This window comes from Homo sapiens, chromosome 17 (genome assembly GCF_000001405.40).
Source record: "Homo sapiens chromosome 17, GRCh38.p14 Primary Assembly".
Taxonomy (NCBI): Eukaryota; Metazoa; Chordata; class Mammalia; order Primates; family Hominidae; genus Homo; species Homo sapiens.
Window position 1 is genome coordinate 60,277,065 of NC_000017.11, and position 12,590 is coordinate 60,289,654.

Below are 12,590 nucleotides of genomic sequence, written 5' to 3' on the forward strand. Positions count from 1 at the left end.
TTCAGTAGTTACTCTTTCTATTTGCAATGCATAAGTCACTATGAAAACTTAGTCTATTGGCTAAATAAGAATGAATTTATCACCCACCTATAGGTATAATTTTTTCTGGGTCACAACAGCAGTATACCATATTCCCAACATTCTAAGTAGTTCTTGGTCTGCACTTTGGGCCATCCTAATCAGGTCTCACCTCACCAAAGGCTCCAGCTGCAGACAACAACTCTTTAATGCCAGAAGTCAATCCTCATCAAAAAGGCCAGGCACATATCCAAATATTTTCATACAGTAACACATTTCTTTAACATTTTTGAAAAACAACCTCCTCTCAGGAGCAATGACCTTCTGAGATCTACTTAAAATGGCTGTAAGCCTTGCATCACTAACGGATAAGAGGATAATGAAGGAGAGGCACACAGATTTACTAGGCAGTTCATGGTCTAAGAATCACCAAAGTCCTTTATTCCCTATTGACAGAAGGCTTTAACATTGTAAACTAAAATGTGGTAAGGGACCATAATAATATACATATTGTTAGTTGAAATAAATGCTAAAACAGATAAGGACAATATACATTTCTTGAGTTAGCTCTGAAAAGAGAAACAATCAAAATGAATTATAAAGTCCCATCACCAAAATTAGAATTTTAACTACTTCAGAATCCAGATTCTACCATTCAAAGAAATCACTCAGTTAGCAAGCTGAATACATTATGATACATTCTGGGGAAATGCCAAAAACTTTCTTTATTTATTGGAAAACATTTACAAGACAGAATAGATATATGTTTTCTTCCAAATATTGCTGAATTCTACAAAAGAATATGACTATTAAAAAAATAACTTAATAATAGTTCCTTTTTTTTTTTTTTTTTGAAGAGACAGGGTCTCACTCTGTCACCCAGGAGTGATCATAGCTCAATGTGGCCTCAACCTCCTGGGCTCAAGTGATCCTCCCACCTCGGCCTCCACAGTAGCTGGGAATATACGCATGTGCTACCACATCCAGCTAATTTTCAAATTTTTTGTAGAGACGGGCCTTGCTGTTTCCCAGGCTGGCCTTGAACTCCTGGACTCAAGTGAGCCTCCTACCACAGCCTTCCAAAGTGCTGGGATTACAGGCATGAGCTACTGCACCCAGACAATAAATAAAAATTTTAAAAGCCACATCATATTCTGGAAACATTTAGTAAAAACGTATTATATGCCTGACATTGTACTAAAAACTACACATATGACTGTGAACAAGACAATTATGTTTAGAGATGAGAAGTGAAAACTGATCATTTTCATCTAGTGTGGAAAGTACAATGAAAAAATAGAGAGTTTTCTGGGAGCACATACATGGGTAGGCCCTGGAGGTCTCGATGTTTAAAGAGGTACATGAAGAGAATCTAAGGGTTAACTAGGGAAAGGAAAAGGAGTGTGGCAGAAGGAAATTATAAGCAGAGGTAAAACAGGATGTGTAAAAGTCTGAAGGTAAGACAGATAGTAATAGGACAGAAAGACAAAAAAGCAGTTGTGTTAAGTTTTAATTCAAAAACAAGAAAAAGGATCACCTATAGAAAGGTTTATACCATGGACCCAAGATAAAAGGCAAAAAACAGGAAAGAATTTTAGTTTCCAATGACAAAACAAAAAAAGTATAAAGATAACAGTTGAACCTGGAATAGCAGGCATTTCAGTCACAACGTAGACATTTCAAAGAGAAGATGACTTGGAGCTGCTAGACTGCTTGGAGAGGACTATTCACGTACTACAGTATAGGGGATGGCATAGACAGATTTAAAATAGTGAAAGTCTGATTAAAACTAATCAATTAAAACTAATTACATTTTAACTTTATAGTCTGTCTCTCCAAACTCCAACACTGTGTGTATTATATAACTATGGACAAAATGGAAAAGGAAAGAGTATTATAAGAAAAAACAAAAATGACTAGGGTTTGATCATTCAAAGTAGAATCAGAGGAGGAGAGGGAAGAACTGTACTAACTTATTTCAAACTTTTAATTACATAGAATGTTTATGCTCCCTATACAAGCTTTCTGACTCAACATCATCATCGAGATGCTCAGCATCATCACAAACATCATATCTGTCCTCCTGTACCTTTAGTACAAACGGCTTTAAAGATTAACTTGTCATTAATCCTGTTGACTGGGCACAGTGGCTCACACCTGTAATCCCAGCACTTTGGGAGTCTGTGGCAGGGGAGGATTGATACCAGCCTGGGCAACATGATGAGATCCCATCTCTACAAATAATTTTTAGAAATTAGCCGGGTGTGGTGAATGCACCTGTGGCCCCAGCTACTCAGGAGGCTGAGGCAGGAGGATCCCTTGAGCCTGGGAGGTTGAGGCGGCATTGAGCCATAATTGTACCACTGCACTCCTGCCTGGGGAGCAAGACTCTGTCTCAAAAAAAAAAAGAAAAAAAAAACCTTATCTATATTTCACAAGTAATTTTACAAATAAAATCTGAAGTATTTAAATAGCCAGGCATGCTGGCTCACACCTGTAATCCTATCACTTTGGGAGGCTGAGGCAGGTAGATCACTAGAGCCCAGGAGTTTGAGGCCAGCCCGGGCAACATGGTAAAACCCCTTCTCTACAAAAAATACAAAACTTAGCCAGGCCTGGTGGTGTGCGCCTGTAGTCCCAGCAAGTTGGGAGGCTGAGGTGGGGGGATCACTTAAGCCTAGGAGGCGGAGGTTGCAATGAGCCTAGATAGGGCCACTGCACTCCAGCCTGGGCAACAGAGCCAGAGCCTGTCTCAAATAATAATAATAATTAATAATAATAATAATAATAATAAAATGTTTAAACAGCAAATTAGGATAGAAAAATACAATGGTATTGATTAAAAAATTAGTTAAGATGTATTAAACCATAAACACTTGAACTTTGGGCTAAAGTTCTGATTCCACTTCTTAATTTAAATAGATAAGGTAATAATAGTTTGGAATTTACACTTCAGAAAAATGTAATTACCATGACAAAATCTAAAATCTTGGGTAAATTGAGTAAGTTATTATTATTATTATTATTTTTTGAGATGGAGTTTCACTCTTGTTACCCAGGCTGGAGTGCAATGGCACGGTCTTGGCTCACTGCAACCTCCACCTCCTGGGTTCAAGCGATTCTCCTGCCTCAGCCTCCCGAGTAGCTGGGATTACAGGCGTCCACCACCACACCCAGCTAACTTTTGTATTTTTAGTAGAGACGGGGTTTCACCATGTTGCCCAGGCTGGTCTTGAACTCCTGACCTCAGGTAATCCACCCACCTCAGCCTCCCAAAGTGGTGGGATTACAGGCTCGGGCTACTGCACCTGGCCAAATCAAGTAAGTTAATTATTCTAAGTCTGTACTGAATACAAATAGCTCCACAGTTTCCTTTGTGATTCACATCAAAGAGAACAAAATATGATTAAACGTGGCAGTGTGTTCAACTTACTGTGACTTCAAATTTTACTATATATTTGTGTATGAAAAAGTAATTAAAGGCATCTGCATGTTAACATGTTATTTAGAAGTTAAAAATTGTAATTCCTTTTTGTTTCCTAGATACCTTGGCTCATTACACAAATTTAAATGGAGTCACTGATGCTTTAAAATAAATGTCTACTTATAAATCAGTTAATAACATTCCCTATTTTTATCACAAGTTTCCACATTCCTAACACATTATTAGAACAGTTCAATGTACCAAATATTATTTGAGTAGAAGAGCCTGCAAAGACATCAATAGTGAATTGTTTAGCCAGAATCAGACTGAGAATTTATAGGTAATATAAATCATAGTCATCAAATTGTAAACCTAACCATGTCAGAATTTCTCTAAGAAACTTAGCAGTAATTCTGACTTTGTGATAATGCTTTTCATAGTAAGACTCACTAAGAAAGTAGCTGCTTGCCAGAAGCCAGCAGCAATTCAGTTGTCTGTTGAATAAATTTGTTGGTTCTTTGTTTTTATAGATTATAAAATAAAAGTAAACAAACTGGTAAGAAAAACACTGTCTTTCCACAAATCTGGGCAAGTTAATTTTTATACTGATCTACAGCCCTCTATTTGAAAATTTGCTTGATCCCAAAACAATTATTCTCTGAAGACAGAGGGGTAAAAACCACTGACATTCACAAAGCCAAGTGTTCACAAATATAAGAGGATGCATATTCATTATAAAACACATGCTCTGGCCGGGTGCAGTGGCTCACGCCTGTAATCCCAGCACTTCGGGAGGCCGAGGCGGATGGATCATGAGGTCAGGAGTTCAAGAGCAGCCTGGCCAATATGGTGAAACCCCATCTCTACTAAAAATACAAAAAATTAGCCAGGCGCGGTAGCAGGCGCCTGTAATCCCAGCTACTCGGGAGGCTGAGGCAGGAGAATTGCTGGAACTCGGAGGATGGAGGTTGCAGTGAGCTGAGATCATGCCACTGCACTCCAGCCTGGGCAAGAGTGAGACTCCGTCTCAAAAAAAAAAAAAAATGCTGTATACCAGACGCAGGCTGAGTCCTTTTATTAATAATAACAAAAGGTATTACCTAATTTACTCCTTGAAACAGCCTTATAAGGTAAATTGTATCATTATCCCTGTTTTACAAAGGAGGAAAAAGAAGTTCAAAGAGGTTAAATCTATTTCCCACAGCAATAGTAAGTGGCAGGGGTAGTCTGTGTGACACAGAGGTTGAAGAACTACTAAATATTTTATCAGTGTTTCTCAAAATGCAGTTCATGGTCCATCTACATCAAAATCACCCTGGAGGTCTGTAAAGTACAAAGTCCTAGGGCCCACTAAATCAAAATCTTTGCCGACAGAGCCAGTAACCTGCACTTTCAATAATTTCTCCAAATAATTCCAATGCTCAATATAGCTGGTAACTATCAATATGCCATAGTAGACTTACGGCTGACTTGTTTTTAATTTGGGGTTATTTCTCTTACAAGAAATAAGGATAGGACAAAACTCAACTAAGATGCCAGCAAATAAGAATGTTATAAATAACTGAGAAAACAGCATAATATTTCTTCAGGCTTTTACCACACAGTACTGATTTATTTCAATGACTACCACGGAAATCAATGCGCACATTGTAAGAGCAGTTAAAATCATTACATGTATTTAAAGCAAACTGACTCTTCATGTGCCTAAACTGAATGCTAATCAATGTTCTATATCTGATATCATTTAGCTAACCAAAAGTTTTAGAAGGAAGACCTTAGAACTTTGCAACTTTCAACAGTTCTTTAAGTGTGTAAGTATCATAATTCATTTCCCCCTAAAAACATAGTATACTCTTTTTTTTTATTGAGACGGGGTCTCGCTCTATTGCCAGACTGGAGTGCAGTGGTGCAATCTCGGCTCACTGCAACCTCTGCCTCCCAGGTTCAAGCTATTCTCCTGCCTCAGCGTCCAAGGTAGCTGGGACTACAGGCACATGCCACTACACCCGGCTAATTTTTGTACTTTTAGTAGAGACAGGGTTTCCTCATGTTGGCCAGGATGGTCTTGATCTCTTGACCTCGTGATCCACCCATCTCGGCCTCCCAAAGTGCTGGGATTACAGGCATGAGCCACCGCACCCAGCCAAACATAGTCTACTTTTATGAGAACATCCCCATGCTATGAAGTTGTTAAACCTTATTTAAACATGATGATTTATCTTGGTCCTTCTCCCCTTGGTATGGCTTTAGCCTTACAGTCCTAAGAGGACACATCCCTTCTGCTCACTCTGGAGGCAATCAAATGTTTAAATCAAGACTTAGAATGTACACTTTAAGAGGCTGAAAAATTTTCAATCCAGTTCAATCCAACAAAATGCATTTCGTCCACTAAACTAAGAAAAACTCAAAGGAATAGGACCTGAGCCATATTCCCAAGGGGCTTGCAACTTGTGGGGGTAAACAAAATCATTTCCAACAGACTTAGAGATAGGGCAAAAAGCAAATTAATTGCTTCAATTGAAATATAAAGTGTTGCAGAAATGCAAATAGTAAAATAAATTAACTCAAAGAGAAATGGACAAGCATGACAGAAAAGGCAGCATCTGAATTGGGCTTTGATGACAAACAATCATCTCAATTGTCAAGGGCTGAAAGATGAAGTACATTCTTAAATGAAGGAAGATTAGGAGTGATGTATATAGTGTAGCTATAATATAAAAGTTCATGGTGTGGTCACGGTATATTGACCAGTGCTCTGTAGTTGAGGCAAAGAACACACGTGAGGAGAAATGAGCATGGGAAATTAAGTCAAGGATAGGAAACTAAGAGACTCTGAAGCCATGCTAAGGAATTTAAACAAAGGTTTCTAAGCAGAGAAGTGAAGTAATTAAAAGAAATTTAATGTCAATTTAATGTGAATTAAAAATACATTTAAAAAATTGTCCTTCATCCTTTCGTATCATTGAGAGGAAGTAAAATAAGAAAGATAAGAAACTTATAATGATGGCACCAAGAAAGAAAGATGCAAGAAATATGTCTGAGTTAAGATGGATAGAATCTAATATGAAGCTTGACAAGGAAAAGTCAAAGGTTAGTCAAGTTAGACACTGGAATTAAAAATACTATCAACCAGGATATAAAACACAGAAGGAAGAACAAGTTTGCCTTTTTTTTTTTTTAATACCTTTAGGTGGATCATGGCAGGGAAAGATGAATTCACTTTAGATATAAGATTTAGGTGCTAGAAAGTATAACCAAGAGGCATTTATTAAAATGAATCTGAGGTTTCAGAAATACCTCAAGAGCAGAAAAGTTCATCTAGGTATCACCTACAAAGATAGGAAGGATAGGTGAAGCATGGAAATGGCTGTGATGAAGCAAAGAATGTACATCATCCGAGAACAAACTAGAGCGAAGGGCTGATCCACTGGAAATAACTTTTATTTTAAAAGTAGGTGGTAAAAGGGGAACAGTAAAACTCGTAAGAAATAAGAAGAATATTAGGAAACTACAATGTTTCAAAAGCCAAAGGAGAAGAGAGTTTGAAGAAAACTGATTGGTCAACAGTGTTAAAATGCTGCAGAGATGTTAGGAGGTACATGAAACTAAAAAGAAAACAATCATTAGGAATTAGAAGGTCATTATTGTAGGTGAAACAATCAATGTACAGGAATATTTGTTTCAAATAATTCAAGATTTTTTCTTTTCTTTTTTTTTTTTTTTTTGAGACCAAGTCTCGCCCTGTCGCCCAGGCTGGAGTGTAGTGGCATGATCTTGGCTCACTGCAACCCCCGCCTCCCAGGTTCAAGTGATTCTCCTGCCTCTGCCTCCCAAGTAGCTGGGACTACAGGGGTCTGCCACCATGGTTGGCTAATTTTTGTATTTTTTTTTTTTAGTAGAGACAGGGGTTTCACCATATTGACCAGGCTGGTCTCGAACTCCTAACCTTGTGATCCGCCCGCCTTGGCCTCCCAAAGTGCTGGGATTACAGGCATGAGCCACCACGCCCAGCCTAATTCAAGATTTCTTAAGGCAAAAGTATTTTTAACTTTTAGATACTACTAAAAATCCAAAAAAAGATGATTTTCAAATAAAACGGAGCCATTTTTAACATATTGAAAATTATTTGACTGATTAAATAAATTTGTTTTCTCTAATAATACAGTGTTTTCAAAAACAGTAAATAAGCAGCTTCTGCTTTCAAAGTAATTTTTTAATCAACTGACAAAGCTCCTTGACCAAATTTTTTAGGTTCCTCTAAGCTCACTTCTACTAAGTTTCATTCTTGGTTCCCTTCCTGTCATTGGTCTATCCTAGACCAGTTTTAGATAAGAATCCAGCAATAGTCATTCCCCTCACCTTGGACTGCTTTAGCAAGAATCCCCTACCTTTGATGTCTCCTCTTTGTAATTTTTCTATCCACTGACCACCTCACCTTAATCCTTGGCTATAAATCCCCACTTGTCGTTGTTATATTGAGAGCTGAGCTTATCTCTCTCCCCTACTGCAATACCCTTAATTGCAGTAGTCTTGAATAATGTCTTCCTCACAGTTTTAACAAATATCAGAATAATTTTTTCTTTAACACAACAAGGCATTTAAGGAAAGCAGTCACACTCTTTTCGATATTAACAGAAAACTAATTTACCATACAATCACAAGTAAAAGTGAAAGTTCAACAGAATATCCATATGAGTAACAATATAAATATTAAGGTAAGTTAGAGTTTACACAGTGAGTATAAAAAGGTTCCCTCAATATTTTAAGCAAAATAATTTTTTAAAAGGCTTTCCTATTTAAAACAAAGATAAGGGCACTGAAAAGTAGTAGAATCAAGCTTACTGCCCATTCATGCCAGAACTTACCAGTCAGAACTTTTAATAATAACAGAATGAAAATGGGAGAAAGTAGCTGGTGTGTAATCTGTAGTCAAGTTATATGTCATATAAAGTAATGGATACAAATAGCACTTGACACCCAAATTCCTCTATTCAGTCAACAAATACTTATTCAGGCTTGGCCCAAGATTGGAAAGATAGGATAATACTGCAGACCCCCTCTGCCGGAAAGGATCCTATGAGTTAGGAGACATGACATGTACAAATAAGCAGAATGCTATAAGTAGTTATAATACAAAGATGAATAGGATAAATTAATTCAAAAAGGGTACAAGTAAGGTGTTATCAGAGTTCAGAGGAATGAGAGATAATTTCTGATAAGAAGGCAAGAAAAGGTTTCATGAAAAAGAGGGTATGTGATTTAAGTCTTCATGGATGATTATTAGGATTTAACACGTAGAAGAAAAAGAGAAGGCATTTTAGTGATAGAAAGAAGCATAAGAAAAAGCAGCCCAGGCACAGTGGCTCACGCCTGTAATCCCAGCACTTTGAGAGGCCAAGGCAGGTGGATCACCTGAGGTCAGGAGTTCAAGACCAGCCTGGCCAACACAGTGAAGCCCCGTCTCTAATAAAAATACAAAAATTAGCTGGCATGGTAGTGCATGCCTGTAATCACAGCTACTTGGGAGGCTAAGGCAAGAGAATCACTTGAATCCAGGAGGCGGAGGCTGCAGTGAGCTGAGATCACATCACTGCACTCCAGCCCAGGCAAAAGAGTGAGACAGTGTGTCCAAAAAAAAAAAAAAAAGGAAAAGCAGAGTGTATTAACAGTTTTCTGTATCCAATGGAAAGAAGAACAGTAGAAATTAACACTTAGGCCTGTGTAGTGAATTGAATACTGTCTCCCAAACATTCATGATTATCTGGAACCTCAGAATATGGCCTTATTTGGAAATAGGGTCTTTGCGGATGTAATGAATTAAGGATCTTGAGGTAAAATTATCCTGGATTTAGCCTGGGCCCTGAATCCAAAGAGGAAAGGACACAGAAACACACAGAGAAGGCCATGTGAAGACAGAGGCAAAGAATGGGAGATGCTGCCACAAACCAAGGAATGCTTGGGGTCACCAAAAAATGGAAGAGGCAAGGAATAATTCTTTTCTAGGGACTGAGGCAGAGCAGGAGGCACCTTTTGAGGGGCCGAGGGGCCTAGGGGTCCCTGCATGCATGGAAATAAAGGATACTCCTGAGTTCCTTCAAGTGAAACTCTAGGCATCTATCTAGCCAGCCCTGAGAAATAAGTAATGTGTTAAGCCAGAAAGTAATAGTAGCCTAAAAGAAGATGTTTGATTTCCCTATAGCAACTAAAGATAACATCTTAATATGTGTCCCTGAGTTGTCATTCAGAAGCACAGACCCCCTCCCTCACCAAGAACTCCCACTGAGCTGATCAGACCTTAGACCACAGGGGAACTAAAGACTCAATGCTCACCATCCTTCTTTGTTCTAAATTTCTTCCCAGCCTGGGTGTGGTGGCTCATGCCAGTAATCCTAGCACTTTGGGAGGCTGAGGCGGGTGGATCACTTGAGGTCAGGAGTTTGAAACCAGCCTGGCCAACATGGTGAAACCCCTTCTCTGATAAAAATACAAAAAATTTAGCTGCACATGGTGGCAGGCACCTATAATCCCAGCTACTCAGGAGGCTGAGGCAGAAGAATCGCTTGAACCTGGGAGGTGGAGGTTGCAGTGAGCCGAGATCGCGCCACTGCACTCCAGCCTGGGCGACACAGCAATACTTCGTCTCAAATTAATTAATTAATTAATTTCTTCCTGAAGGGCCTGGAGGGAGTCACACCCGTGAGCCAGTTAACGTTCTTTTCTGCTGACCTCAAATTTTTAAAAGATGGTTCTCTTCCTTAACCAATTGCAAATCAGAAAATTTTTAAATCTGTCTACCTATCTATGACCTACTTGTAAGCTCCCCTTTCAAGATATCTGGCCCTTTTAGGCCAAAACCAATGAGTATCCTCCATGTATTGATTTACGATTTTTGCCTGTAGCTTCTATATTCCTGAAAGTTACCCTTGCCTTTAAAAACCCTTACCCATGAGCCTTGGGGAGGTTGGGCTTTGAGCATTTACCTGGTCCTCTTTGCTTAATGCCCTATAAATGTCTTCCTTTCTACTGCTACAGAAACTCTGGTGTAGATATGTGATTTTTACTGAGCCAGGTAAGCAGACCCAATTGCGATTCTATAACAGGACTTCAGAGGGAGCACAGCCCTATAAACATCTTGATTTCAGCTGCTAAAACTGAGTAAATGTCTCATTTCAGTTTATGAATTGTGGTAATTTGTTACAGCAACCCTAGGAAACTAATATAGCTTCATTAAGGACAATTCACAGAGGCCTATATTTTCCATGCCCAGCATTTCTTTTTATTACATTTTGAAAAAAACAAAACACTGACAAAAAAAAAATTTCTCAGGCCGGGCATGGTGGCTCACGCCTATAATTCCAGCACTTCGGGAGGCCGAGGCGTGTGGATCACGAGGTCAGGAAATCGAGACCATCCTGGCTAACATGGTGAAACCCTGACTCTACTAAAAATACAAAAAAATTAGCCAGGCATGGTGGTGGGCGCCTGTAGTCCCAGCTACTCGGGAGGCTGAGGCAGGAGAATGGCGTGAACCCGGGAGGTGGAGATTGCAGTGAGCCGAGATCACACCACTGTACTCGAGGCTGGGCAACAGAGGGAGACTTCGTCTCAAAAAAAAAAAAAAAAAAAAAAAAAAAGTCTTGGCTGGGCACAGTGACTCACAACTGTAATCGTGACTCAAGACTCAGGACTTTGGGAAACTGAGGTGGGAGGATTACTTGAGCCCAAGAGTTCAAGACCAGCATAGGCAATATAGACCCCTGCAGTCTCTACAAAAGATAAAAAAATTAGCCAGGCATGGTGGCGAGTGCCTGTAGTCCCAGCTGCTTGGGAGGATGAGGTGAGAGGACTGCTTGAGCCCAGGAAGTTGAGACTGCCGTAAGCCACGATGGTGCCACTGCACTCCAGCCTGGGACAGAATTTAAATAAATTTCTCCTTTATAAGCATATTCTCATATTACCAGCCAATTATATATATAAAAAAAGGCAAACAGAAAACAATGAAATGTCATTACTTACAATGTGTGACTCCAGCCAGAGTTTGGTAGAAAGTAGGAGTATCACTATCATCAGTGAGGGTAACATACACACCTCCAGATAGAAGCCATCGAGAGAAAGTAAAAGCATCTTTGTTTAGAAAAAGCCAATTTCTAAACTTTTCATAGTTTACCTTTTCACCCTAAAATTAAAACAAGAAAACATAAGTTTAGTCAAATTTTAAGGTATCTTACTTGGAACCTGCACAACCTGAAATTTGCAATTAGTTGGCAATTACCTTTCTGCTGTCTACAAAGGAAGGATTATCTAATAACACTGCAGGGTGTATATACATATTTGGAAATCAAACTTTTCAAAAATACTTGTGCTTCATAACTTCTACTTGCATAAAATCTGTATGTTAACTACAAATTATTTCATCAATTCAGTAAAGCAGTACACTGCCAATAAGCCAGATTTTGTTTGCTAAGTATATCCCAAAACCAGTAAACTGCATTTTGTTTTTTGTTTTTGTTTGTTTGTTTGAGACGGAGTCTCACTTTGTCGCCCAGGCTGGAGTGCAGTGGCGCGATCTCGGCTCACTGCAAGCTCTGCCTCCCGGGTTCACGCCATTCTCCTGCCTCAGCCTCCTGAGTAGCTGGGACTACAGGCACCCACCACCACGCCCGGCTAATTTTTTGTATTTTTTAGTAAAGATGAGGTTTCACCGTGTTAGCCAGGATGGTCTTGATCTCCTGACCTTGTGATCTGCCCGCCTCGGCCTCCCAAAGTGCTGGGATTACAGGCATGAGCCACCGTGCCCGGCCATCTGCATTTCTTTAAACATTTAATAAATCCAATTTTTCACTTGCCTTATCCCTCTTCTTTAGCACTCTTCAATCTGCCTGAGTTACTATATCTTAATTAAATCTGTATGGAATTAAAATACTCTTTAAATTTCATTTGTGAATTAAAAACAACTATCCAGGTGTCCTCCTAGAGTAGACATTCAGGATCCCAGAAGGCATCACTGAAAACATGTATGTACACAGAGAACAAAAAGAAGCAAGTTGATTTCTGTTTCTTTGCTTTCTTTCCAGGTATTTTTCTTGATAAATCTCTGGAGAAAAGTATCCAGGCTGAAAAAGAGCATCATATGGTTGTTCACGCCAAT

The 12,590-nt window shown here is 39.2% G+C and overlaps 1 protein-coding gene across 12 annotated transcripts in view; it reads right to left on the reverse strand.

Moving 5' to 3' along the window:
* USP32 (ubiquitin specific peptidase 32) overlaps positions 1-12,590 on the reverse strand; it is a 245,090-nt gene that overhangs the window by 99,738 nt on the left and 132,762 nt on the right. For 11 of the 12 annotated variants that reach the window (XM_011525372.2, XM_011525371.2, XM_011525376.2 and 8 more), the window contains one exon: positions 11,459-11,618. The exons of the other annotated variant lie outside the window; for it this stretch is intronic. In XM_011525372.2, the coding sequence (XP_011523674.1) occupies positions 11,459-11,618 (160 nt within the window). The remainder of the gene's footprint in view (positions 1-11,458; positions 11,619-12,590) is intronic. 12 annotated transcript variants of the gene reach the window in all.